General features: G+C 38.7%; 1 long non-coding RNA gene across 8 annotated transcripts in view, besides 4 other annotated features; it reads right to left on the minus strand.

The window, feature by feature from the left end:
* Positions 1-27,350, minus strand: part of UFL1-AS1 (UFL1 antisense RNA 1) — a 321,372-nt gene extending 294,022 nt beyond the window's left edge. Inside the window, exons 1-3 of one of the 8 annotated variants that reach the window (XR_002956362.2) lie at positions 18,181-27,350; positions 13,295-13,358; positions 1-6,282 (exon numbers count right to left, since the gene is read on the minus strand). This is a non-coding gene — a long non-coding RNA (UFL1 antisense RNA 1). The other 7 variants (XR_007059683.1, XR_007059686.1, XR_001744265.3 and 4 more) reach the window with 7 other exon arrangements.
* Positions 25,285-26,158: an enhancer, noted in NCBI's record as "OCT4-NANOG-H3K27ac hESC enhancer chr6:96967525-96968398 (GRCh37/hg19 assembly coordinates)". NCBI's record gives its function as "activates a minimal SCP1, AML or CMV promoter by ChIP-STARR-seq in primed H9 embryonic stem cells {active_cell/tissue: H9 hESC(primed)}" and the evidence as "EXISTENCE:reporter gene assay evidence [ECO:0000049][PMID:30033119]".
* Positions 26,159-27,030: an enhancer, noted in NCBI's record as "OCT4-NANOG-H3K27ac hESC enhancer chr6:96968399-96969270 (GRCh37/hg19 assembly coordinates)". NCBI's record gives its function as "activates a minimal SCP1, AML or CMV promoter by ChIP-STARR-seq in primed H9 embryonic stem cells {active_cell/tissue: H9 hESC(primed)}" and the evidence as "EXISTENCE:reporter gene assay evidence [ECO:0000049][PMID:30033119]".
* Positions 27,031-27,371: part of an enhancer, noted in NCBI's record as "NANOG-H3K27ac-H3K4me1 hESC enhancer chr6:96969271-96970142 (GRCh37/hg19 assembly coordinates)", that runs on past the window's edge. NCBI's record gives its function as "activates a minimal SCP1, AML or CMV promoter by ChIP-STARR-seq in naive and primed H9 embryonic stem cells {active_cell/tissue: H9 hESC(naive and primed)}" and the evidence as "EXISTENCE:reporter gene assay evidence [ECO:0000049][PMID:30033119]".
* Positions 27,047-27,236: an enhancer, noted in NCBI's record as "active region_24842". NCBI's record gives its function as "activates an Ori minimal core promoter by ATAC-STARR-seq in GM12878 lymphoblastoid cells {active_cell/tissue: GM12878}" and the evidence as "EXISTENCE:reporter gene assay evidence [ECO:0000049][PMID:35858748]".

Genomic DNA, 27,371 nt, shown 5'->3' on the forward strand with positions numbered 1-27,371 from the left:
TCATTGTCCATTTTTTTTATTATACTTTAAGTTCCAGGGTACATGTGCAGAACGTGCAGGTTTGTTACGTAGTTATCTATGTGCCATGCTGGTTTGCTGCACCCATCAACTCATCATTTACATTAGGTATTTCTCCTAATGCTATCTCTCTCCCCTAGTCCCCCTCCCCCTGACAGGCCCCAGTGTGTGATGTTCCCCTCCCTGTGCCCACGTGTTCTCAATGTTCAATTCCCACCTATGAGTGAGAACATGCAGTGTTTGTTTTCTGTCCTTGTGACAGTTTGCTGAGAATGATGGTTTCCAACTTCATCCATGTCCCTACAAAGGACACGAACTCATCCTTTTTTTGGCTGCATAGTATTCCATGGGGTATATATGCCACAATTTCTTAATCCAGTCTATCACTGATGGACATTTGGGTTGGTTCCAAGTCTTTGCTATTGTGAGTAGTGCTGCAATAAACATACGTGTGCATGTGTCTTTATGGCAGCATGATTTATACTCCTTTGGGTTTATACCCAGTAATAGGATCGCTGGGTCAAATGGTATTTCTAGTTCTAGATCCTTGAGGAATCACCATACTGCCTTCCACAATGATTGAACTAATTAACACTCCCACCAACAGTGCAAAAGCGTTCCTATTTCTCCACATCCCCTCCAGCATCTGTTGTTTCCTGACTTTTTAATGATCTTCATTCTAACCGGTGTGAGATGGTATTCCATTGTGGTTTTGATTTGCATTTCTCTGATGATGAGCATTTTTTCACGTTTTTTGGCTTCATAAATGTCTTCTTTTGAGAAGTGTCTGTTCATATCCTTTGCCCACTTTTTGATGAGGTTGTTTGTTTTTTTCTTGTAAATTTGTTTAAGTTCTTTGTAGATTCTGGATATTAGCCCTTTGTTGGATGGGTACTATGCAAAAATTTTCTGCCATTCTATAGGTGGCCTGTTCACTCTGATGGTAGTTTCTTTTGTTGTGCAGAAGCTCTTTAGGTTAATTAGATCCCATTTGTCTATTTTGGCTTTTGTTGCCATTGCTTTTGGTGTTTTAGTCATGAAGTTTTTGCCCATGCCTATGTCCTGAATGGTATTGCCTAGGTTTTCTTCTAGGGTTTTTATGGTTTTAGGTTCAACATTAAAGTCTTTAATCCATCTTGAATTAATTTCTGTATAAGGTGTAAGAAAGGGATCCAGTTTCAGCTCTCTACATATGGCTAGCCAGTTTTCCCAGCACCATTTGTTAAGTAGGAAATCATTTCCCCATTTCTTGTTTTTGTCAGGTTTGTCAAAGATCAGATGGTTGTAGATGTGTATTATTATTTCTGAGGTCTCTGTTCTGTTCCACTGGTCTACATCTCTGTTTTGGTACCAGTACCATGCTGTTTTGGTTGCTATAGCCTTGTAGTATAGTTTGAAGTCAGGTAGCGTGATGCCTCCAGCTTTGTTCTTTTGGCTTAGGATTGTCTTGGCAATGCAGGTTTTTTTGGTTCCATATGAACTTTAAAGTAATTTTTTCCAATTCTGTGAAGAAAGTCATTGGTAGCTTGATGGGGGTGGCATTGAATCTATAAATTACCTTAGGCAGTATGGCCATTTTCACGATATTGATTCTTCCTACCCATGAGCATGGAATGTTCTTCCATTTGTTTGTGTCCTCTTTTATTTCATTGAACAGTGGTTTGTAGTTGTCCTTGATGAGGTCCTTCACATCCCTTATAAGTTGGATTCCTAGGTATTTTATTCTCTTTGAAGCAATTGTGAATGGGAGTTCACTCATGATTTCACTCTCTGTTTGTCTGTTATTGGTGTATAGGAATGCTTGTGATTTTTGCACATTGATTTTGTATCCTGAGACTTTGCTGAAGTTGCTTATCAGCTTAAGGAGATTTTGGGCTGAGACAATGGGGTTTTCTAAGTATACAATCATGTCATCTGCAAACAGGGACAATTTGACTTCCTCATTTCCTAACTGAATACCTTTTATTTCTTTCTCTTGCCTGATTACCCTGGCCAGAACTTCCAACACTATGTTGAATAGGAGTGGTAAGAGAGGGCATCCTTGTCTTATAGCACTTTTCAAAGGGAATGCTTCCAAATTTTGCCCATTCAGTATGATATTGGCTGCGTGTTTGTTATAAATAGCTCTTATTATTTTGAGATATGTTCAATCAATACCTAGTTTATTGAGAGTTTTTAGTATGAAGGGCTGTTGAATTTTGTCAAAAGCCTTTTTGGCATCTATTGAGATAATCATGTGGTTTTCTTCGCTGGTTCTGTTTATATGATGAATTACGTTTATTGATTTGTGTATGTTGAACCAGCCTTGTATCCCAGGGATGAAGCCAAGTTGATCGTGGTGGATAAGCTTTTTGACGTGCTGCTGGATTCGGTTTGACAGTATTTTATTGAGGATTTTTGCATCGATGTTCATCAGGGATATTGGTCTAAAATTCTGTTTTTTTGTTGTGTCTCTACCAGGTTTTGGTATCAGGATGATGCCGGCCTCATAAAATGAATTAGGGAGGATTCCCTCTTTCCTATTGGAATAGTTTCAGAAGGAATGGTACCAGCTCCTCTTTGTACCTCTGGTAGAATTCATCTGGTCCTGGCCTTTTTTTCATTGGTAGGCTATTAATTATTGCCTCAATTTCAGAGGCTGTTATTGGTCTATTCAGAGATTCAGCTTCTTCCTGGTTTACCCTTGGGAGGGTGTATGTGTCCAGGAATTTATCCATTTCTTCTAGATTTTCTAGTTTATTTGCATAGAGGTGTTTATAGTATTCTCTGATGGTAGTTTGTATTTTTGTGGGATCGGTGGTGTTATCCCTTTTATTATTTTTTATTGTGTCTATTTGATTCTTCTTTCTTTTCTTATTAGTCTTGCCAGCAGTCTATCGATTCTGTTGATCTTTTCGAAAAACAGCTCCTGGATTCATTGATTTTTTGAAGGGTTTTTTGTGTCTCTATCTCTTTCAGTTCTGCTCTGATCTTAGTTATGTCTTGCCTTCTGCTAGCTTTTGAATTTGTTTGCTCTTGCGTCTCTAGTTCTTTTAATTGTAATGTTAGGGTGTCGATTTTAGATCTTTCCTGCTTTCTCTTGTGGGCATTTAGTGCTATAAGTTTCCCTCTACACACTGCTTTAAATGTGTCCCAGAGATTCTGGTACATTTTGTCTTTTTTCTCATTGGTTTCAAAGAACATCTTTTTTCCTGCCTTCATTTTTTTATGTACCCAGTAGTCATTCAGGGGCAGGTTGCTCAGTTTCCATGTAGTTGAGCAGTTTTGAATGAGTTTCTTAATCCTGAATTCTAATTTGATTGCACTGTGGTCTGAGACACAGTTTGTTGTGGTTTCTGTTCTTTTACAGAATGTATATTCTGTTGATTTTGGCATGGAGAGTTCTGTAGATGTCTATTAGGTCCACTTGGTGCAGAGTTGAGTTCAAGTCCTGTATATCCTTGTTAACCTTCTGTCTCGTTGATTTTTCTAATATTGACAGTAGGGTGTTAAAGTTTCCCATTATTATTGTGTGGGAGTCTAAGTCTCTTTGTAGGTCTCTAAGGACTTGCTTTATGAATCTGGGTGCTCCTGTATTGGGTGCATATATATTTAGGATAGTTAGCTCTTCTTGTTGAATTGATCCCTTTACCATTATGTAATGGCCTTCATTGTCTCTATTGATCTTTGTTGGTTTAAAGTCTGGTTTATCAGAGACTAGGTTTGCAACCCCTGCTTTTTTTTTGCTTTCCATTTGCTTGGTAGATCTTCCTCCATCCCTTTATTTTGAGCCTGTGTGTGTCTCTGCATGTGAGATGAGTCTCCTGAATACAACACACTGATGGGTCTTGACTCTTTATCAAATTTGCCAGTCTGTGTCTTGTACTTGTGGCATTTAGCCCATTTACATTTAAGGTTAATATTGTTATGTGTGAATTTGATCTTGTCATTATGACGTTAGCTGGTTATTTTGCCCATTATTTCATGCAATTTCTTCATAGAATTGATGGTCTCTATAATTTGGCATGTTTTTGCAGTGGCTGGTACCGGTTGTTCCTTTCCATGTTTACTGCTTCCTTCAGGAGCTCTTGTAAGGCAGGCCTGGTGGTGACAAAATCTGTCAGCATTCGCTTGTCGGTAAAGGATTTTATTTCTCCTTCACTTATGAAGCTTAGTTTGGCTGGAGATGAAATTCTGGGTTGAAAATTCTTTTGGTTAAGAATGTTGAATATTGGCCTCCACTCTCTTCTGGCTTATAAAGTTTCTGCCAAGAGTTCCACTGTTAGTCTGATGGGCTACCATTTGTGGGTAACCCGACCTTTCTCTCTGGCTGCCCTTAACATTTATTCCTTGATTTCATCTTGGTGAATCTGATGATTATGTGTCTTGGGACTGCTCATCTCAAGGAGTATCTTTGTGGTGTTCTCTGTATTTCCTGAATTTGAATGTTGGTCTGCCTTGCTAGTTGGAGAAGTTCTCCTGGATAATATCCTCAAAAGTGTTTTCCAACTTGGTTCCTTTCTCCCCGTCACTTTCAGGTACAACAATCAAACATAGATTTGGTCTTTTCACATGGCCCCATATTTCTTGGAGGATTTGTTTGTTTCCTTTTACTCTTTTTTCTCCAATCTTGTCATCTTGCTTTATGTCATTAATTTGATTTTCAGTCACTGATATCCTTTCTTCCACTTGATCGAATCAGCTATTGAAGTTTGTGCATGTGTCACGAAGTTCTTGTGCCATGGTTTTCAGCTCCATCAGGTCATTTAAGGTCTTCTCTACACTGTTTATTCTAGTTAGCCATTCACCTAACCTTTTTTCAAGGTTTTTAGCTTCCTTGCAATGGGTTAGAACATGCTCCTTTAGCTTGGAGAAATTTGTTATTACCAACCTTCTGAAGCCTACTTCTGTCAACTTGTCAAAGTCATTCTCTGTCCAGCTTTGTTCCATTGCTGGTGAGGAGCTGTGATCCTTTGGAGGAGAAGATGTGCTCTGTTTTTGGAATTTTCAGTTTTTCTGCTCTGCTTTCTCCCCATCTTTGTGGTTTTATCTACCTTTGGTCTTCGATGTTGGTGACCTACAGATGGGGTTTTGGTGTGGATGTCCTTTTTATTGATGTTGATGCTATTACTTTCTGTTTGTTAGTTTTCCTTCTAACAGTCAGGTCCCTCAGCTGCAGGGAACTGCTTGTCCCTGCTGGAGTTTGCTGGAGCTCCACTCCAGACCCTGTTTGCCTGGGTATCACCAGCAGAGGGTGCAGAACAGCAAATATTACAGAACAGCAAATATTTCTGCCTGATCCTTCCTCTGGAAGCTTCTTCCCAGAGGGGCACCTGTCTGCATGAGGTATCTGTTGGCCCCTACTGGGAGATGTCTCCCAGTTAGGCTACACGGGGGTCAGGGACCCACTTGAGGAGGCACTCTGTCCATTCTCAGAGCTCAAATGCCCTGCTGGGAGAACCACTGCTCTCTTCAGAACTGTCAGACAGGGACGTTGAAGTCTGCAGAAGCTTCTGCTGCCTTTTGTTCAGCTATGCCCTGCCCACAGATGTGGAGTCTACAGAGGCAGTAGGCATTACTGAGCTGTGGTGGGCTCCACCCAGTTTGAACTTCCTGGCAGCTTTGTTTACCTAGTCAAGCCTCAGCAATTGCAGACTCCCCTCCCGCCAGCAGGCTGCTGCCTTGCAGGTCGATCTCAGACTGCTGCACTGACAGTGAGCAAGGTTCCATGGGGGCGGTACCCACCAAGCCAGGCACAGGAGGGCATCTCCTGGTCTGCCAGTTGCTAAGATCATGGGAAAAGTGCAGTATTTGGGCGGGAGTGTCCAGTTTTTCCAGGAACAGTCTGTCACCACTTCCCTTGGCTATGAAAGGGGAATCCCCCGACCCCTTGCACCTCCCAGGTGAGGTGACACCCCAACCTGCTTTGGCTCACCCTCCATGGGCTGCACCCACTGTCCAACCAGTCCCAGTGAGATGAACCAGGTGCTTCCATTGGAAATGCAGACATCACCTGTCTTCTGTGTCGATCACACTGGGAGCTGCACACCGGAGCTGTTCTTATTCGGTCATCTTGGAACGGAGATCATTCCTGTCCATTTTTAATTTAACATTTCAATTTCAGCTTCCCTTCCTCCAGGAATGAATGGGTCGTCTCCCTCCAGTCTCTACTCCTGATCCTCTCTCTTCTGGTCTACTCCAAGATTCCCATCAATTATTCCCCAGGCTCTTCCTTATCAAATATGTGTTCCTCTTGACCTATAATCATGCTTCAGTCTATTTTGTCTTTAAAAAACAACACAAAGTAAAGCAAACAATAATGCCATGCAGCATTTCTAACTCTACTATTTGTTTTTCATGCTACTTCTCACTCATGATATCTTGTTTCATCAGTTTTATAGTTTGGAATTTAGAGTTCAGTTAATCTAAATGTATGGAAATATTGAGGGAGTCTGAGTTAAATGTAGATATTTCTAAAGAGTAATTTTATTCTCTTCTGCCAAATACTCATGATCACATTAAATTAATTTTTAGATTTATGAGTATAAAAATACAAATAACAATTCCATATAAGCCAGGGCTATATCTAGGAACTCTTAAGAAATACATTATATTTGTCCTACCTAGAGTCAGGGCCAAGAACAAACAAATAACTTTGTCATGTGTCTTTGCTGGTGGGTAGACTTCTTTTTTTCCTGGTTTGTCTTTTCACTGTGAAAATATCCCTTTGGGCCGGGCACAGTGGGACACGCCTGTAATCCCAGCACTTTGGGAAGCCAAGGCGGGCAGATCACAAGGTCAGGAGATTGAGACCATCCTGGCCAACACGGTGAAACCCTGTTTCTACTAAAAATACAAAAATTAGCTGGGCATGGTAGTGCATGCCTGTAATCCCAGCTACTTGGGAGGCTGAGGCAGGAGAATCACTTGAACCAGGGAGTCAGAGGTTGCAGTGAGCCAAGATCATGCCACTGCACTCCAACCTGGTGACAGAGCAAGACTCTATAAAAAAAATCCCTTTGAAGGAAATGACTATATAAACCACCTTAGGTAGGCACAAGGTATTACTGAATCATGAAAACACAAGTCTCTTGGCATCATAAAATACTGTCATGCAGTCACAAGTCTGGTATTGGCTTACCATACCAAATTCCTTCTTTTTAAAAATTTTCAGACAATAGGGAATTCCCTTGTGAATTTAAAGAATTTGTTGAATTATATATAGCACATCTCACAGTAGGTGATCTAGTTTTTTATGTTGCTGGAAACAGAAATCTCCATGTTTCTTTATCAGTAGAGATGGGTGTACTATCTGTCAAGATAATGCTGTAATGAATAACTGTGATTACAGAGAGCTCCAAAATACCAAGTTTCATATCCTGTAAGATATTTATATTTTAATTTTAATTCATTTTCTGGTAGAAAAAAATTAATCCAAGATTCTTTACCATTTATATTAAAACAACAGGTTAAAAAAAACTATGTCACACAGTTAACTATGAAAATTATATTTAACACAGTTTCCATTTCAGAGAGATGAGAAAATTAAGCCTTAAAAAATGCAAGCAAATTGCTTAAGGCCATAAAAAATTAAGGGATAGAACTAATATGTGCATTTAGAGTTCCTTTTTTAAAAACCCACAGTAAACAATACGATTATATCCTCTGACCTCCAATAACACGAATATTGACCAGACAGTATAAAGTAGCTATCTTTAGAATAAAAATAGAAGACCTACAAAAGAAACCAAGACATAATAAAAGAGGAAGAATCTATTAAAAAAAGAAGAAAAATTTTAAAATAATAGAATGGAACTTATAGCTGTGAATATCTTGCAATTGCTCCTGACTTCCAGTAATTGCAAACAAAGTAAATCAGATCAAGCTTCAGGCTCAGAGCAACTATTAATACTTGCAAAATATTTTTTTAAAAATCTGTTCTATGTCATTTGAACATTAAAGAGGCAGGGGTGAATTAAAAGATCAAGATATTTAGGGGAGAAAATGAAAAAGACAGAAGAGTTCTGCAACTGGTGCCATTTTTTTTTTCTGTCCACGCTCATATCAGAAGAGGCACCTGAGAGAATCAGGAGCTTTGCAAAACTTTGAACAGATTCATGGTGCCAAGGGAACAAAAATTGGAGTTCATTGCCTGCCTAGGACAGGCAAGTGGCAAACATCTGGGGCTTTGAGACCACAAAGAAATATACTCTAGAAATCCGTGTTTATGATTTTTTAAGTGGGCTTTTATAAGCCTTGATTATATCAAGGTGATCTGGAATTACTAGCCACCTACTAGAAAAAAATATATAAATCCTCTTTGGTGGAAGATATTACACACTTAAATTATCTCTACTACTTTGTATAAAATGGGTAGTTTATATTAAAAAATAATTAGAATAACAAGGAGACAAGACAACATGATCACAACCAAGAGAAAAACAGATATCAGAAACAGACAAGAGAAAATTCAAAATTATAAAGTTATTAGAAATAGATGTTAATATAGTCAAGGAAATAAAAGACATAATTTAAAATATTGTCAGATAGCTAAAAATGTAAAGAACAATCCAATGAAAATTCTAGATATGAAAAAATGCAATTACTGAAAAAATACTCAATATATGGGTTAACAGTAAATTAGTCATAGATGAAAAAAGAATAAATCACCTGGTAAATTGGTCAGAAGAAAATACCCAGGATGAAGTATAAAGAGACAAAAAGAAGGAAAAATAGAGAAAATTACATAGGAAAGACATCGGGGATCCAATTAAAAGTTCCAACAAATGTGTAAGTGGAGTCCCAGAAGAAAAGGAGAGAAAAATGGAGCAGAAAGATAGTTGAAGAGAGTATGGCTATGGATTTTTCACAACTGGAAAAAGAGATTAAGCTGCAGATTCAGATAGTATTAGGAATCCCAAAAAAGGATATATACAAAGAAAGCTACACATAGCACATTATAGTGAAATCAATGAAAAACAAAGAAAAATTAGAAAATCATAAGATCATCTATAGGGAAGGAAAAGAGACTACCTTGATGGGAATCATAATCAGAATCATAATTGCCTTTTCAATAAAAACTACGAAGCCAGAAGACACTGAAATGTATTTTCAAAGTACCAAAAGAAAATAACTGCCAATCTAAAATTCTATAGTCAATGAAAATGTCTTTGAGGAACAAAGTCAAACTAGGATATTTGCAGACCACAACAATAGCATCTGTTGTCAGTAGACCCACTGACATTGCTGGTAGATTCCTCTAATGGAAATATTAAAGGAATGATTACCTCTAGATAGAAAGAAAGCCATAGTGATTGGAAGATGGCATGAGGGAGCTTCTTGGCAATGACAGAATTTTATTGACCTAGTTGCAGCATGTGTTTACTTTGTAATAGTTTGTTGAGATTCACCCTTGTGACTTGTGCACTTTGTGTGGATGAGTTAAACAAAACTATAAATGAACTGGATGTGATCTGAACAAAATATCCAGAGAGCAACAGGAGGAAATAAACAGATGGATAAAATGAAGGACAGATTTAAAGACACCATGGCTAGAAAGTCCAGTAACAGTTACAAAAGGGAAGAATTGAGAAAATGAAGGAGGCACAGTATTCAAAGAGATAATGGCTGGGAAAATAAAAGAAAAGCCAGAAAACTCTCTAAAGTGCTGAAAAAAATAGTCATCAATCTAGAATTCTATACCACGCCAATTTACCCATCCAAATAAGAGTGAAATAAAGACATTTGCACTCATTCATTCATTCACACAGTTTGTTGTTGTTCAACAATTCTTATTGAGCACTTACACTGTCTAGGCATAGGGACTACCATTAACAAAAGCAATTTAAGTCCCCATTCTCAGAATTCTAGAGGTCGGAGCCTGAAATGGAGCTCATGGGATTAAAACAAGGGTGTCAGCAGGGCTGATTTCTTCTTCTTTTTTTTTTTTTTTTTTTTTTTTTTTGAGATGGAGTCTCGCTCTGTTGCCCAGGCTGGAGTGCAGTGGCACGATCTCGGCTCACTGCAAGCTCCACCTCCCGGGTTCACGCCATTCTCCTGCCTCAGCCTCCCGAGTAGCTGGGATTACAGGCACCCGCCACCGTGCCCGGCTAATTTTTTCTATTTTTTTGGTAGAGACGGGGTTTCACCGTGTTAGCCAGGATGGCCTCGATCTCCTGACCTCGTGATCCGCCCGCCTCAGCCTCCCAAAGTGTTGGGATTACAGGCATGAGCCACCACGCCCAGCCAGGGCTGATTTCTTTTGGAGTCTCCAGGAGGAGTCTGTTCCTTGATCCTTCCAGCTTTTAGACTTAGTATTCATTGAACTGTGGCCACATCACTACATGCTCTGCTTGCTTCAGTCATCGATTGCTTTCTCTCCAACTCTGACTTCTCCTGCATCCCTTTTATAAGGATCACTGTGATTACATTGAGACCACTCAGATAATTGAGAATAATCTCCCCATCTCAACACATTTAACTTAATCACACCTGCAAATTTTATTTTGTCATATAAGGTAACATTCACAGGTTCTGAGTATTAGGATATGGACATCCTTGGGGGACAATTATTCAACCTGCCACAATATGTACGCATTTCTGTTGGATTTTACCTAGGGGTATAAGCTGTTTATTATGTTCAGCATTAGTTGATGATACCAAATAATGTTTCCAAATTGTTGTATTTACTTATATTTCCACCAGCAGTGTTTCACATACTCATCAATACTTGTTACTGTCAGTCTTTTTAATTTTAGCCATTCTGGTAGATTTGATGCTGGACAAATATAGACTATAATAGTTTTACTACTAATAGCCTTTTGCAGAAAAAACTACTAACAAGTCCACCTTAGTTTTTTACAATGAAAAAATAAAACCAAGAAAGAAAGAAATAGTAGATGAAAAATAAAACATAGAGGAAAATAGATGTTAAACTTTGGATAAATTTACAATGAATTTGGGGAGTAAAAAATAATAGAATAAAGTTTAAAAATTATTTAAGTGGAAAGGGTAAAGTTTTCTAAGATCCTTACATTGTTTAAGAGGAGAGTAGATAAAGCCTAATGAAAAAATAAGAGGAAGAAACTAACTTTGCCAGGACTGAAGAAGAAGGAAAGGGTATTTCAGAAAGGTAAAACATTCTTTGCAAATATTCCGTGCCCTGAAAGAATCTGGCATATTTCCAGAAGGGCAACAATGTGGCATGTGGCTGAATGCCAGCCTTCATGAAGGGTGCTGAGGAGATTAGGCTGCAATCGGGACACTAATTTGGGGATAGATTGGGTTGGGCTATTTCAGGAGATTTTTAGGAGTCTATACTTCATTTATTTGACCACTAGTCATTAACATTTTAGAACACACAAAACATTTTAAATGATTTTAAAAGCACAAATGGCATCACTTGAATTACATTCAATATAATTATGGTTTTAATATAAATATAAAATGTAAACTGGAATCCTCAAAACAGTTAAATAGCAATTGTAATAATCCATGTATAAAGTGGCAATTTAATATTTCACCTCAAGGCACTGTGCTATATATATCTGTCGGTATAAAAATTAATGACATTGGCTGGGCACGATGGCTCATACCTGTAATCCCAGCACTTTGGGAGGCCAAGGCGGGCAGCTCACCTGAGGTCAGGAGTTCGAGACCAGCCTGATCAACATGGAGAAACCCTGTCTCTACTAAAAATACAAAATTAGCCAGGCGTGGTGGCACATGCCTGTAATCCCAGCTACTCAGGAGGCCAAGGCAGGAGAATCGCTTGAATCTGGGAGGTGGAGGTTGCAGTGAGCTGAGATCTCGCCATTGCACCCCAGCCTGGGCAACAACAGAGAACTCCATCTAAAAACAAAACAAAAACAAACAAACAAAACTAATACATTGTACCTAAACACAAGTAACACGTAAGTCAAGTTGCTGGTGGTTGCAAAGAGAAGGAAAAGGAAGTGAAGGATGTCAGATATTAGAGGCAAAGAACCTTTGGGATTCAGGAAGTACTAGGAGATTCCCCTGGTGGTTGGTTCTCCTGCATACCTAGCTCCTCCCCAACACACACACACACACACACACACACACACACACACACACACACACACGATGTCAGTTTCCATTATTTGGCTCGTATGTTATTGAACAAATATCTTCAGGAAAAAAAAGAAGTGTGGATTTAGAACATGATTTCATGCTGCCTGTTGAGAGTATTTCTCTCTCTGTCTGTCTCTCTCTCTTTAAAGAAAAGATCTCACTCTGTCACCCAGGCTGGAGTGCAATGGGCTGATCATGGCTCACTGTAGCCTTGAACCCTTGGGCTCAAGCAATCCTCCCACCTTAGCCTCCTGTAGCTACGACTACAGGCACGTGCTACCATATCCATATCCAGCTAGGTTTTTTTGTTTTTTGTTTTGTTTTGTTTTGTTTTTTGTAGAGTTGGGGGTCTCACACTTTTGCCCAGGCTTGTCTTGAACTCCTGGCCTTAAGCAATCTTCACTCCTTGCTCTCTCAAAGTGCTAGGATTACAGGTCTGAGCCAATGTACCTGGCCTTCCTTTTTCTTTAAGATGTTAAGGTATCAAATTTCTGAAACCAATCCCATAAATAATTAGTAATAATCTAAGACTTCTAAAGATGTTTTTATTGCATGTTGTTTTTTCTACCAAATTATCCAAAGAAAGCTGTCATAGACAGAAGTTAAATGTATCAACCCCCTATACCCTTATTATGACTTTTCCTGGTACAGTTATAGACTTGAATCTCAATTCTGCCTCTGGTATTGGAATCACGGGCTCAGATAGAACCACTGAATCTTTTTCCCGCCATATTCCTATCTATTGTTGCATGTATGATTTGTTTGAAAAATGACTGTCTCATATTGCAAAAGAGCACAGATGTGCCTCCTCTTTCTCAGTTATAATGATGAAAATCCCCAGTAAGCAATTATTTTGTGAATGAATTTTATAGAATGCCAATTCATGCTGCAAAACTAATTCGTCCTTCTGTTAACAACAAGCATCACCCAAATGTCCCCCCACCTGCCAGAATAAGTACTATGACAAATACAAGATTTTAAAAAAGCAACATGCTTACCAAGTTCTGAAGAAGTATTCAATCATAGCAGTATTACAGATTTTCATGAGGAAAATCCATTAGGCTTTAATATGTTGCAGTATATAACAATCTAGAACATTATACTTTTACAGTATTTCAAAGAAGCAATCTTGTTATACAGTTGTTTCCATTTTAGAAAAAGCAATTGGAAATTTCTAACTTAACTTATGAAACATTATGCGTACCTTAAGGAGTTCATTATGTCATTATTGGCCCTTTGTTTCCTGATTCATTATTTATAACTAAATGCTGAAAGATATAAAAGAAGAAGCTTTACAGTTGGTTGGTATAAATGGTCAAAAGTTTTTTTAAAAACTCAATGTTTTCTATTATATTTAGGATTTGGTCTAAACTCTGAGTTTTCTAACAAATAAAAAATCAGAAAAGTTCTTGATGCATTATTACATACAAAATGAATAGTCTGTAATTACTTTACCTACAATATCACCACCATCACCTCCACCAAGATAATCAGTGTATGAACATCCTTACTTTTCTACCCCATGTCTGAAAGGAAGAAATTTATTTTCTGATATCCAAGCTCAATCCATCTATATTAGTTCTCTGTGGCTGCTGTAACAAATGACCACACACTTGGTGGCTTAAAACAACAGAAATTTCTTCTTTCCTTGCCTCTTTCAGCTTCTGGGGGTGCCCAGTGTTCTCTGGCTTGAGGCAACATCATATCACCTTCTCCTCTTCTGTGTATCTGTCCTCTCTGTGTCTGTCTCACAACTGTCTCTCCTTCCTTATAAGGATACATGTGATTGTATTTAGGACTGACTCAGATAATCCAGGATAAACATTTCCTCTCAGAGCCTTGACTTTATCCCATCCTTTATAATATAAGGTAAAAATCACAAGTTTTGGGAATTTGACATGGAGGTCTTTTGGTGCTTTTTTTCTTTTTGAGACAGGATCTGGCTCCGTCATCCAGGCTGGAGTGCATGGGACAATCTTGGCTCACTGCAACCTCCGCCACCTGGGCTCAAGCCATCCTCCCACCTCAGCCTCCCAAGTAGCTGGGGCTACAGGCATACAACATCACACTTCACTAATATTTGTATTTTTTGTAGAGACAGGATTCACCATGTTGCTGAGGCTAGTCTCAAACTCCTGAGTTCAAGCAATCCACTCACCTTGGCCACCGAAAGTACTGTGATTACAGGCATGAGCCACCATGCTCAGCCTGATGCTATTGTTTGGCCCACCATACTGATATGGTTTGGATTCATATCCCCACCCAAATCTCATGTTGAATTGCAATCCCCAGTGTTGGAGGCGGGGCCTGGTGGAAGGTGATTTGATCATGGGGCTAGATTTTCCCCTTGCTATTCTCATGATAGTGAGTGAGTTCTCACAAGATCTGGTTGTTTAAAAGTCTGTAGCACCTCACACTTCCCTCTCTCTTCCCCCTGCTTCAGCCACGTGAGACGTGCCTCCTTCCTCTTCACCTTCTGCCATGCTTGTGAATTTCCTGAGGCCTCCCAAGCCATGCTTCTGGTACAGCCTGCAGAACTCTGAGCCAATTAAATCTCTTTTCTTTATAAATTAGTCAGTCTCAGGTAGTTCTTTATAGCAAGAATGGACTAATACTGAATATTGGTACCAGAGAAGTGGGGCATTGCTACAAAGATACCTGAAAATGTGGAAGCGATTTTGGAACTGGGTAATGGGCAGATGTTGGAACAATTTGAAGGGCTCAGAAGAAGACAAGAAGATGAGGGAAAGTTTCGAACTTCCTAGAGACTTGTTAAATTGTTGTTAACAATGAAGTCCAGGCTGAGGTAGTGTCAGATGGAGATAAGAAATTTATCGAGAACTGGAGTAAAGGTTACTTTTGCTATGCTGTGGCAAAGACTGGTGGCATTGTGCCCCTGCTGTAGGGATCTGTGGAACTTTGAACTTGAGAGAGATGATTTAGGGTATCTGGTGGAAGAAATTTCTAAGCAGTAAAGTGTTCAAGAAGTATCCTGGCTGCTTCTAACTGCATATGCTTATATTCATGAGCAAAGAGATGGTCTGAAATTGGAACATATATTTAAAAGGGAAATAGAGCATAAACGTTTTGAAAATTTGTAATGTGGCCAAGTGGTAGAAAACAAAAACCCATTTTCAGGGGAGTAATTCAAGCTGGCTGCAGAAATTTGCAAAAGTAAAGAGGAGCCTAATGTTAGTAGCCAAGACAATGGGGAAAATGCCTGGAAGGCATTTCAGAGAGCTTAATGGCAGCCCCTCCCATCACATGCCCAGAGGCCTAGGAACAAAGAATGGTTTTGTAGACCAGGCTATGGCCTTGCTGCCCTGAGCAACCTTGGGAGACTTCTCCCTGTGTCCCAGCCACTCCAGCTCCAGTCATGGCTAAAAGGGCCCCAGATATGGATCAGGCTGCTGCTTCAGAGGGTGCAAGCTGTAAGCCTTGGTGGCTTCCATGTGGTGCTAAGACTGTGGGTGCACAGAGGGTAAGAGTTAAGGCTTTGGAGCCTCTGCCCAGATTTCATAGAATATATGAAAACACCTCAATATCCAGGCAGAAGTCTGCTGCCTGGATGGAACCCTCATGGAGAATCTCTACTACAGCAGTGCAGAGGAGAAATGTAGCGTTGGAGGCCCCACACAAAAGTCTCCACTGGGCACTGCCTAGTGGAGCTGTGAGAAGAGGGCCACCGTCCTCCAGACCCCAGAATGGTATATCCACCAACAGCTTGTACTATGTGCCTGGAAAAGCCACAGGCACTCAACACCATCCTGTAAAAGCAGCTGAGGGGACTGTACCCAGCAAAGCTACAGAGGTGGAGATGTCCAAGGCCTTGGGAGTCCACCCCTTGTATCAGTGTGGCCTGGATGTGAGATATGGAGCCAAAGGAGATTATTTCGGAGCTTTAAGATTTAATGACTGCCCTTCTGGGTATTGGACTTGCATGGGGCCTGTAGTGCCTTCGTTTTGGCTGATTTCTCCCTCTTGGAGTGGGTATATATACCCAATGCCTGTACTCCCATTGTGTCCTGGAAGTAACTAACTCGCTTTCAATTTTACAGGATCATAGACAGAAGGGAATGCCTTGTCTCAGATGAGACTTTGGATTGTGGACTTTTGAGTTAATGCTGAAATGAATTAAGACTTAGGGGACTGTTGAGAAGGGAGGATTGTATTTTGCAATGTGAGAAGGACAAGGGATTTGGGAGGGGCCGGGGTGGAATAATATGGTTTGGATTTTTGTCCCCACCCAAATCTCATGTTGAATTGTAATCCCCAGTGTTGGAGGTGGGGCCTGGTGGGAGGTGACTGGATCATGGAGGAAGATTTCCCCCTTTATACTCTTGTGGTAGTGAGTAAGTTCTCAAGAGACCTGGTTGTTTAAAAGTCCATAGCACCTCCCCTTTCCCTCTTTCTTCCCCCTGCTTTAGCCATGTGAGATGGGCCTCCTTCCTCTTCACCTCTGCCATGCTTGTAAGTTTCCTGAGGCCTCTCAAGCCATGCTTTCTGTACAGCCTGCAAAACTCTGACCAATTAAATCTCTTTTCTTTATAAATTACTCAGTCTCAAGCAGTTCTTTATATCAATGCAAGAATCGACTAATACACACACCACCTATCTATGACTTTGCCCCATACTTTTCTGCCCCGATATTTTCTTGCTCTGATCCCCACCACTCCTCCACCTCCCTTTTCCTTTTCCTTGTATCTTTGATTGCTCACCTTTCAACAGTTCTTTCCCCTCATCACAGAATCATATGAGTTTGCTAGGGCTACTGTAACCAAGTACCACAGACCAAGTAGCTTAAACAACAGAAACGTATTTTCTTATGATTCTGGAGGCCAGAATCCAAGATCCAGGTGTTGGCAGGCTTTGCTTTCTTCTGAGGCCTTACTCACTTCTTGGCTTACAGATAGCTTTCTTCTCCCTGTATTTTCACATGGTCTTCCTTCTGTAGGTGTCTGTGTCTTAAGCACACCTTTTTATAAGGACAACAGGCATATTGGATTAGAGTACCCTAATGACCTCATTTTAACCTACTTACTGTTTAAAAACGCTATCTACAAATACAGTCACATTTTAAGGTACAGGGAGTTAGGACTTCAGCATATACATTTGGAAGGACAGAATTCCATCTATAACACATAACATTCTTACCCCTTCTGGAAAAAAAAATCATCTAAGGAGCTACTACTTCAAACTACCAGCTATATCAGGTATTCACTATGCATCAAATGATCTGTGCTCCCCAACATTTCTCAGCTCTCTTGGTATAAGGTGAAGCCCTGGTACTAACTTTAGGTTGGCAGTACTACATTTTTAATGGACCAGGAGGGGCTTATACTATGAAAACATGGACGTAAAAAAGAAAGGTAGTTTCACTTTAGAATCACAGTCTGATAATATTGGCAACAAATGGATTATACTTTTGTTTTCGCAAAAGTTAACTGATATAATATTCTCAGCAGCACTTTGTTCTCATGCCTCTTTAACTTTCATTAATGAAGACTATAAGAAACAGCTTTATAAAGTCAATTAGGAAATGTACTATAAGAAAATTATTTTGCATATCTCCAAAACTCTTTGCTTCCTCAGAGTACTCCATTTAACATTTTGGTCAATGATCTTTTAACTGATATATTTGTTTGGCTGGTTTTTGTTTTTGTTCATTTGTATTGCCTAAAGCCATGAGTGGGGGTGCATATTTTACAAGTACAATATAATGTAACCTCAATGAGATAACAACTGGGGCAATTGTAGTCATCCATGCATTTCCTATGTCTAGAACAGGTGCTCAGTAAACACATTAGCAAAATAATGAGCCAACTTTATAGTACTATATGGTCTGAATATCTGCATTGTTATTTTTTCCTAATCTTGATTTCCTTTTCTTTCTTATATTTTTCTATACCTAATTATTTTATATGTGTCCTTGATAGAATAATTATATATCAATAAACAATTTGAAAATATATTTAATAAACATTTAACTGAATGAATTATCTGAATTGATATATATAGTGTCTGAAATTTTTTGTGAATGAGGCAATGCCAGGGAGAGTCCTAGCAGGAGACTTTCTGCATTCACCTTACATCAAGTCAGCAGTCATCACAGAATTGGTTACAGCAGCAGTTTTCAAAGTGCCAATCAGGAAATTCTCCAAAATCTTTCAGGGGATCTGTGAGATTAAATATTATTTAAGTAAACAGGCATTTACTATTTTCATTTTCAATAACTATTTTAACATTTTTCCATTTTAATTTAAATATGATAAATCTTGAAAGTTATAGCCATATAAACAAAAGCCCTTTGGGAGGTCTTCAGAAGGTTTAAGACAGTAAGTTTCTCAAGATCAAAGTGTGGGAATCAATGGGTTAAAAGAAGGCACTCATGCCTCTATGTTGTACAAAAACAAATACTTTCCTTTTCACTATTCTATTGGGTCACTAATCATAGGAAAGACCCGTATTGTCACAATTAGGTACCACTGTGAAACTCTAAAAAACCACTCTATAGAATGAGAGAAATCTGAGTAATGGCTACCCAAATAAACAATTTATAGATCTAAGGACCCAGTCCCAATGTATGTTTTCTTTTTTACTTCCATCCTACATCTACCTTAAGTCCAAACCAGAATTATCCACTCTGCATTACTGGCTCCTGGGAAATTAGGATCTCTCTCTGTCTTAGATTCCTGTCATACTCCATCAGTGACCCTTAGATTTCTGATGCCACTGCTCAGAGGTCTTTTTATGAGGCTGTTTTTTGGGGCGGTGGGGGGTGTTGGCCTTAATCTGGAATGGCAACTGTATTTCTCATCAAGTGCCAACTCTGACATATTAATAGCAGCTGTCTGAAACATTGTTTGAGAAGGATTCTGAAGCTGTTTCCTGGCTTAGCAAGACAAACGCCATAATTGATTAGTGGTCTACTGTGGGTACAAGAAGGAAGAGTGTTAGCTTATGTGCTGTGTATTTGCTGACCCTGTGAAATCAACTGGAATTGCTATGATCAAACAGATGTAGAGCAAGACCACAAATGCCTACTCCATGCAAAAAATTACATAGAAATATAACTACTCTGATGTGTAATAATGAGTATCAGCAATAATCACTTCTTCATAAACAAACTCCATCTGCTTAAAATATAAGCATAAATTTTGTGATTCAAAAAGCAAATAAATACATAAGAACATAAGAATTGCCTTGAAAGTTTGTAATAACAGAGCCTGTATATCTATGTATCTAAGTACCTGAAGACGCTTTTAACCTTCACGTGAACTAGGATAGATGCCATCTATCCTTGATTTTGCCTCTTTTAGGAACTTGGCCAGACTTTCTTGCAGACACAATCTTCTCAGAACAGAATCCAGGCAGGTGAATTTTAGGGATGCCAACTGTGGCTTTTGACAAATTCCAGATGTCACTACTGTGGCTATAGTGTGGCATCTGCTAAAAGTATTCCATTTCTTTACAAGATATCATCTTACTGGCATAATCAACGCGTAAGGAAGAAGACGGGGAGGTGAAAGAGAAGGAGAATAAGGAGGAGAAGGAAATTGTGAAAGCAGGAGGAGGACATGGGGAAAGAAGAAATAGGAGATGAAGAAAAGAAAAGGTGTAAGAAATAAAGAAGGATGCAAGTCGTTTCTGGAGATTTGAGCCAGTCTGCGTTTCTCCTTGCTTGGCAGAAAGCATAGATATAACTGTATATTTCCTGAGAATGTATTCTTGTGACTATTTGCTCTACAGTGACACACCACTGTTTAGCAGTGATACAAGCTGGCAATATATCCCTTTAAATCACATTCTGTTGATGAAATAGAAGAACTTTCAGCTTATTTGAGAATGGAACCCAAGCACTGACAAGAACACTCACTGGTTCCTTTGTGAATTTGCCTTTTTGTCATTTTGCCTGAGAGTTATACTGTGAAGAAGTAGACACAGGAAAGCAAGAGATGCCTGGGGCTGATAAATCTGGCTCTAAATACAATATTGTGAAGAGATTGAAACAAAAGAAAAACAGAACCAGAAAAGACTCATATAGAATTTGTTTTCTTGGGAACAAAAGAATACTTAGTGCTTACAAACAAATAAATATATTTGCAGCACAATATTCACAAAAATGTGGCTCTAAGGAATTCTGACAATATAATCACAAGTAACATTAATGAGAAATAAGTGGGGCAGAAATATATATAAATGGAGAATTTTATAGTTTACAAAGCATTTATAAGCATTTGACTTCATTCGTCAGCCTACAAACATGATGTAGAAATGATAAAACAATACAAAGCAGAAATGATGCTAGTTATTGCTTTACTGCTGCAGGGCAAAGGTCACAGTGAGAATAACCTTGCTCCCTACACCCCGACAAAACCTAAAAATATCAAAAGGGATGTTTAAACCTTGCTTTAAAGTAAGAAGAAAAAGAAACATACAGGAAAGCAGGAAACATTCTAAAACAAATGATTAAATGAATGGCTTTGTAGGATTTAGATTAAGAAAATGATGATTATTAGGAATCAGTATGAATTCCTTAAGAGTAAGTCTTGAAAAATTACTCCCTATAAAACTGATAGATTTGAATTCTATAATTCCACAAGCAAGGCAGCATTCTGTGATCTTCCCCTGGGACAAAAAGAGAAATACGGTATTTAAGACAATCAAACTCTAAGTTATATATTAACTCTCTTCTATAAAATAAATAAATCACACCGTTAAATGTTCTGTCTCCAAAAACTTTTAAATCTAGAATCCTGATGATTCAAAATCACCAGCTTATCACAATATGTCCTTGATTTTTTAATCTTGTTATTAACTGAATAAAGATACAATCATGTTTATGAAATTTATAGATGACAGGTGATGTAAAAATAACAATGTTGAATATTAGATTTACATTTTAAAATGATCTCAAGTTGTTCAACTAATTGGAATAACCTGTACTTTCTGGTAATCTCAGGGCATAACGAAGACTGCCACAATGCTGACCTCAAAAAGTATTTGTTGAAACAATGAATGAATAAATGAATGAATGGATCAAAACGAACAAGGTAAAATTTATCAAATAAAATTAATTTTTTCAGCTACAGAATAGACTAAACCTGGTTTGATGGCAATTTAGATAAATACCAGACAGGTACATTCATTACAGTTCAGTTTAGGCCAAGAGTCCAATTAACAAGTGTAAAATATCTAACAAAATTAATTTCACTGTCTCTTATCTGTTCCAGTCAGACTACATGCAAAATACAAAATTCCTTCTGGACATTACTTTTTAAAATTGACACTGGCAAACTAGAGTTCAACAACTTTATTCTGATTGGGCAGCCAAAATATTAAGAGGTCTGGCAATCTTGTGAGGAGATATAAATTGAAGTATCTGGGATGCTTAACTTAAAAAAAGAAAACAGGAGGGACATACTTCAGATATTTGGAGGGCTGTCATAGGAAAGATATATTACAGTCAGTCTGTTTATCACTTAAGGAAACCATATGGAAGCTACAGGGAAACAGACCTTGCTTTAGCAGTACAAGGAAGAAATTTCTAAGAGTTACATCTGTCCAAAAACAGATTCATTTACCTTGCTAAAAAGGGAACACTTCATCACCTTAAGGATCCAAGCAAAACTAAATAATCTGCCAGGGGCTTTGCAAAGAAATTATTGCTGTGTTAGGTAGAACACTAACATAGATATCTTGAAGAGCCTTTCTGGGTTTATTACGCTATTTTTTCTATAGCCTCGGAGGGTCTTGCTGCCTCCATCTTCAACAGTACCATAACATTTCTTTTCATTAATGTATCTTCTTCCAATTTAATACCTGATGAGGTCTTTGTTCTAAGTCCCATTGTTCTTAGTTGCTAACGAGGTAGTCCTTCTATGACAGTTAATTTTATGTGTCAGTTTGACTGGGCTAAAGGATGCCCAAATATCTGGTAAAACATTATTTCTGGGTATGTCTGTGAAGGTGTTTACAGAAGAGACTTGTATCTGAATTGGTAGACTGAGTAAAAAAGACGCTCTCACCCATTTGGGTAGGCATTATACCATCCCTTGAGGGCTTGAATGAAACAAAGAGGCAGAGAACAGTGAATTAGCTTTCTGCTTGAGCTGAACAGCCATCTTCTCCTCCTCTCGGACATCAGCACTCCTGGTTCACAGACCTTCAAACTCAGACTGAACTACACCACCAACTTCTATGGTTCTCCAGCTTGCAGATCATGGGACTTCTCAGCCTCCATAATCACATGGGCCAATTACTATAATCTCTCTGTTACTCTGGAGAATGCTGACTGTTCTGTGAAAGGGCCACCATATATGCAAAGTTCCCCCCAAATGCCAGAGGAGCTGAGAAATCAAAGAATGAGGTAGAAAAATCCAGTTTGTCAGTGATGGAGGTAACTTACAGACGGAAGTGTGGTCTTGGGCAGCAGCAAGACAGGTAGATCTCTAAACCTGTTACCTCCCAACCCAGAGCTTATATACTACAGTGAAAGGGTATAAGTGCTCTCTATGCAAGATAATTAAAGGCAATCCTCCAGAACAGGCAACAATGCTATATATTCATCATAGTCTGTAAACTGTGGGATAACATCAAGATTGACATGTTCTTTCTCTAGGGACAGTAAATAAAGTAGGAATCAGGAGGCATTCATGGGACTGAGGATACTCAAAAATCATTATAGCAGATTAGCATTTAAGGTGGAGTCACTTTTGTCTCCACACTAATATGGCTTCTTTATGCTCTTACAATCTGACTTCTATTGCAACCATGGCAGGAAAAAAAGAAACAATCCCCTGTTAAAAGTCACAGCCTGGCTGGGCACGATGGCTCACACCTGTAAAATCAGAACTTAAGGAGGCCAAGGTGGGAGAATCACTTGAGGCCAGGAGTTTGAAACCAGCCTGGGCAACAGAGCAAGATCTCATCTCTATTTTTAAAAATAAATAAATAAATAAATAAAGTAAAAGGCATAGCCTTTTTGCTGTAATAGCCAGTGGTTCTGCATTATTTTCCTTGTCCTTAACTCTGTAGAGTTATTGTTAACTATCCTTCGTCTATAATTTTTTGCTGCTCTAATTACTTTCCTCTTTTTCAGTGGTCTTTTTCCTCTCCTTCTACTCATGAATCATAGTGTTTTCCTAAGGCACTAATATTTGCTATGTTTGGATGTTCACTACCATTTTTGATTATGGGATTAAAATAATTTTTAAATCCTTCATTACAATAGGATAATGTCAGTGACACAATTAACACTATGTCTTGGTAATTTCCCTATGTGACAAACAGTGAATACTGATTTGCTTGACAATACCCAATTGTAGTTACTTAGTTTTATTTTCCTAGTTGAACCAGGAAAAGTATTTCAAAGTTTACAGTTGTATTTTCTTGACAGACAAGGAAAAAATGCTTCAAATTTTATTTTTTTAAAATTTATCATGGAGGAACTTTACCAGATCACACTTGATATGCTATCAGGGTAGCCATCAATTCAAATTATAAATGTGGCAATATTTTATTGCCCTTCATATTTTAAAGTGAGTCTAAGGATAGTGTCACAAATCATGTACAGAGTGCAGCTGAAGACACCATCAATCCTCCCCCATCATCTACATATCAAAATTCAACTTAAGTTTGTAGACACAAACACAACTATTACAATATTTTGTAGAGAATGGAAATTCTATTTCCCAAGTCTACACAAAGCTTGCTCTTCAAAAGAATCTCTCATCTGTTATTAAATAGCCACTTGGGATTCTTACCATTATTCTAGGCATGCACTGTATTGATTAAAGCTCTACTTAATATCAGATATCAGCCAACACTGAAATATCCTCCATTCAAATGCTTATTACCCATTCAAAATAACTGAAAATGTAGTTAGAGTATATGGTTGCTAGGTGGAGATATTTAAGTTATATGATCTCAGAGTCTGAACAAATGTGCATCCCATCAAAGGTCTAGACCAGAGCTGTACAATAAAACTTTCTGTGAAGACGAAGATGTTTTTCTAAACTATCCCATATGATAGCCATGAGGCACATGTGACTACTGAGAATCTGAAATGTGGCTAGTGCAACTGAAGGACCACATTATCAATTGTATTTAATCTTAATTAATTTAAATGTAAATAGCTTTATATGGCTATTGAGTACCATACTGGACGAAACAAGCCTAGTCTCTAGAAAATATAACCATGAATTATTCTTATGGTTTCCTTTCTTAGGAATAAATGTAAATGTTAGTAATATTAACATAGTACTATTTTACCAAAGTATAATGCTGCACCAAAACATTTACACTGACTTACTCACATAAAGGACATTTATAGAATACAGCAGGTACTATGTACTAGTTGTCACGCTAAGTGCTGAGGAACTTTCAGGAGTTCCTTTAGGAGCTCAGGATATTGAGAGATGCAGTAAATAAGTTAATAAACTACAATATAACTTTTCTTGCTATTAGAGGCATCTAAATAAAGAAATGTGGAAACACAACATATACAATAACTGTAGGAGTTTAAAAGGTTTCATTGAAGACTTTAAAGCTGGGATACCATGAAGAAATATGTTACAAAATAATATGCGGGGATGAGGGTCGGGGGCGTGGGGAAGTGGACAGGCAATCCAGTAAAGACATGGGGTCCTGAAAGGGCTTGGCAAGGCTAGGATACAGCAGACTATTCTCCATGTGTTGTGCAGCGGCAGAGATGTGCAGCTCCAGTCTGACTGTGAGAGTCTTACATAGGAAGCAAGAAGTTTGGCTGCCAAGTGATCACATACTGCCCTATACTTCCCCTATTGTTAGAATTTCCACACTTTTATTGTAAGTACTTATCTTTTTAATCTGCTTCATTAGATTTCAAAATTGTTACGGCCAGACCATGTCTTCCTTATCCACCACTGTGCTCCATGGCATCTGATAGAGAATTAATAAATATGTGTTTTAGGAATGAATGTTTCTGCTTGTTTTGAAGCTTGATGCTCTCTGGAACCACACTACCTACCACCTTCCAAACTACCTCTTTGACTTCTGGTGTTTTCCCTCTTGGTCCATAATCAGGTAGCCATTGTCATTTTCTAGCAGTACTTAGTGGAAGGTTTTATGACTGAGTTCCTGTCTTTTAAATAAAGCTGGGGAATTTAATAGACAATTACGTTTATGGCATTGGATTTGAGTTGCCCACAGTAATGTACTTAGATGGAAAAGAAATTGAAATAGCTCCCCTTTACCAACTCTATCAATATATGATTAAAAGGAATATTTTTATTTTTTAGTTTTTAATTTTTGTAGGTACATAGTAGGTGTATATATTTATGGAGTACATGAAATATTTTGATGCAGGCATACAGCATGTAATTATCACATCAGGGTAAATGTGGTATCCATTACCTCAAGCATTTCCTTTGTGTTACAAACAATCCACTTGTACTTTGTTTTTTAAAATGTACAATTGAATTATTATTGACTGTACTTCCGGAAAGGTGTCCCAATCCAGACCCCAAGAGAAGGTTTTTGGATTTCATACAAGAAAGAATTGAAAGCAAATCCATAAAGTGAAGCAAGTTTATAAAGAAAGCAAAGGAAAAAAAAAATGGCTATTCCATAGGCAGAGCAACGGCTTGAGCTGCTGGCCTAAGGATACCTATAGTTATTTCTTGATTACAGCTAAACAAGGGGTGGATTATTCACAAGTTTTCCAAGGAAAGGTGTAGGCAATTCCCAGGGCTGAGAGTTCCTCCCCATTTTAGACCCATATAAGGTAACTTCCAGACGTTGCCATGGCATCTGTACACTGTCATGGCACTGGTGGGGGTGTCTTTTAACATGATAATGAATTATAATTAGCATATAATGAGCAGTGAAGACGACCAGAGGTCACTGTATTCATCATCTTGGTTTCTGGTGGGTTTTGGTTGGCTTCACTACTGCAACCTGTTTTATCGGCAAGGTCTTTATGACTTGTTTTTCCTGCCTGTGGACCTTCTATCTCACTCTGTGACTAACCTCCTGGGAATGCAGCCCAGTAGGTTTCAGCCTTATTTTACCCAGCCCCTATTCAAGATGGAGTTGCTCTAGTTCAAACGCCTCTGACAACTAGTCACCCTGCTGTGCTATCAAATACTTGATATTATTCATTCTTTCTAACTGGAATAATATTTTTTAAATAGTAAAGAGTGAGATACATGAACTCCAAATATCTGAGACAGGTCACAATCAACTCAGAAAGTTTATTTAGCCAAAGTTAAGAACTTGCATCCATGACATGGCACAGATCCTGACAACATGCGCCCAAGGTGGCTGGGGCACAGCTTGGTTTTACACATTTTAGGGAGACATGGGGCAGCAATCAATATATGTAAGATAAACATTGGTCTGATCTGGAAAAGCGGGGCAACTCCAAGTGGGGAGGAAGTTCCAAGTCATAGGTAGATAACAGACAGTTGCATTCTCTTATGAGCCTCTCCAAATGAGGCAATCAGACATGCATTTATCTCAGTGAGCAGAGGGGTGACTTTGAATAGAATGGGAGGCAGGATTCCCTAAGCAGTTCCCAGTATGACTTTTCCCTTTAGCTTAGTGATTTGGGGGTCCCATGATTTATTTTCAATTCATAAGATATAAAAAAGATATAAAAAAGAAAGGTACACCTGAGTAAATATCTACTCAACAGGGAAGCAGGATACATGTTCTCTTTGCTTTCCCTGTTTCCTTGATAGCCATGCACCTTATGTTTATATTCCTCATTATTTGATGAAGTTAATCATTGCAATAAGAGAAATACGAAAGACTCTAGAACTCTAGACACGAAAGCAATTATACAGCCTTTATGACACGCAAATTTATTCACTCTGTAAAAAAAAAGTAATTACTTTCGGTAGGGTCTCCCATGTATCTTCCAAAAGGCAGACTGCTCTGGGTGCATGTAAAAATTAACACGATACCCTATACAAAAGGGAATGCTCAGAGTTAACAGCTAGAGAAGAGAGGCGCCAATCTTAGACACAGGCTTATTCCTCCGCACCCTCCCCCAAAACAAATGGAGGACAGAAGAAAAAAGAAAAGTAGTTAATACAACTATTACTCTACGGAAATATTAGGGGTAGCGCAAACAAAGTTCTGACACTAAACTTTACTGAGCCCTGCATCCTGCCCACGACCCCCCCAGAAACACCTACGCACCACTCTCCTAGCCGCCGCAGCCCCGCCAGTCTCGCCGGGAGGAACCCCCAGCGCCGCGGTACAACCACGGCACTTCCGCCCGCCCCCCGCGCCTC

This window comes from Homo sapiens, chromosome 6 (genome assembly GCF_000001405.40).
Source record: "Homo sapiens chromosome 6, GRCh38.p14 Primary Assembly".
NCBI lineage: Eukaryota > Metazoa > Chordata > Mammalia > Primates > Hominidae > Homo > Homo sapiens.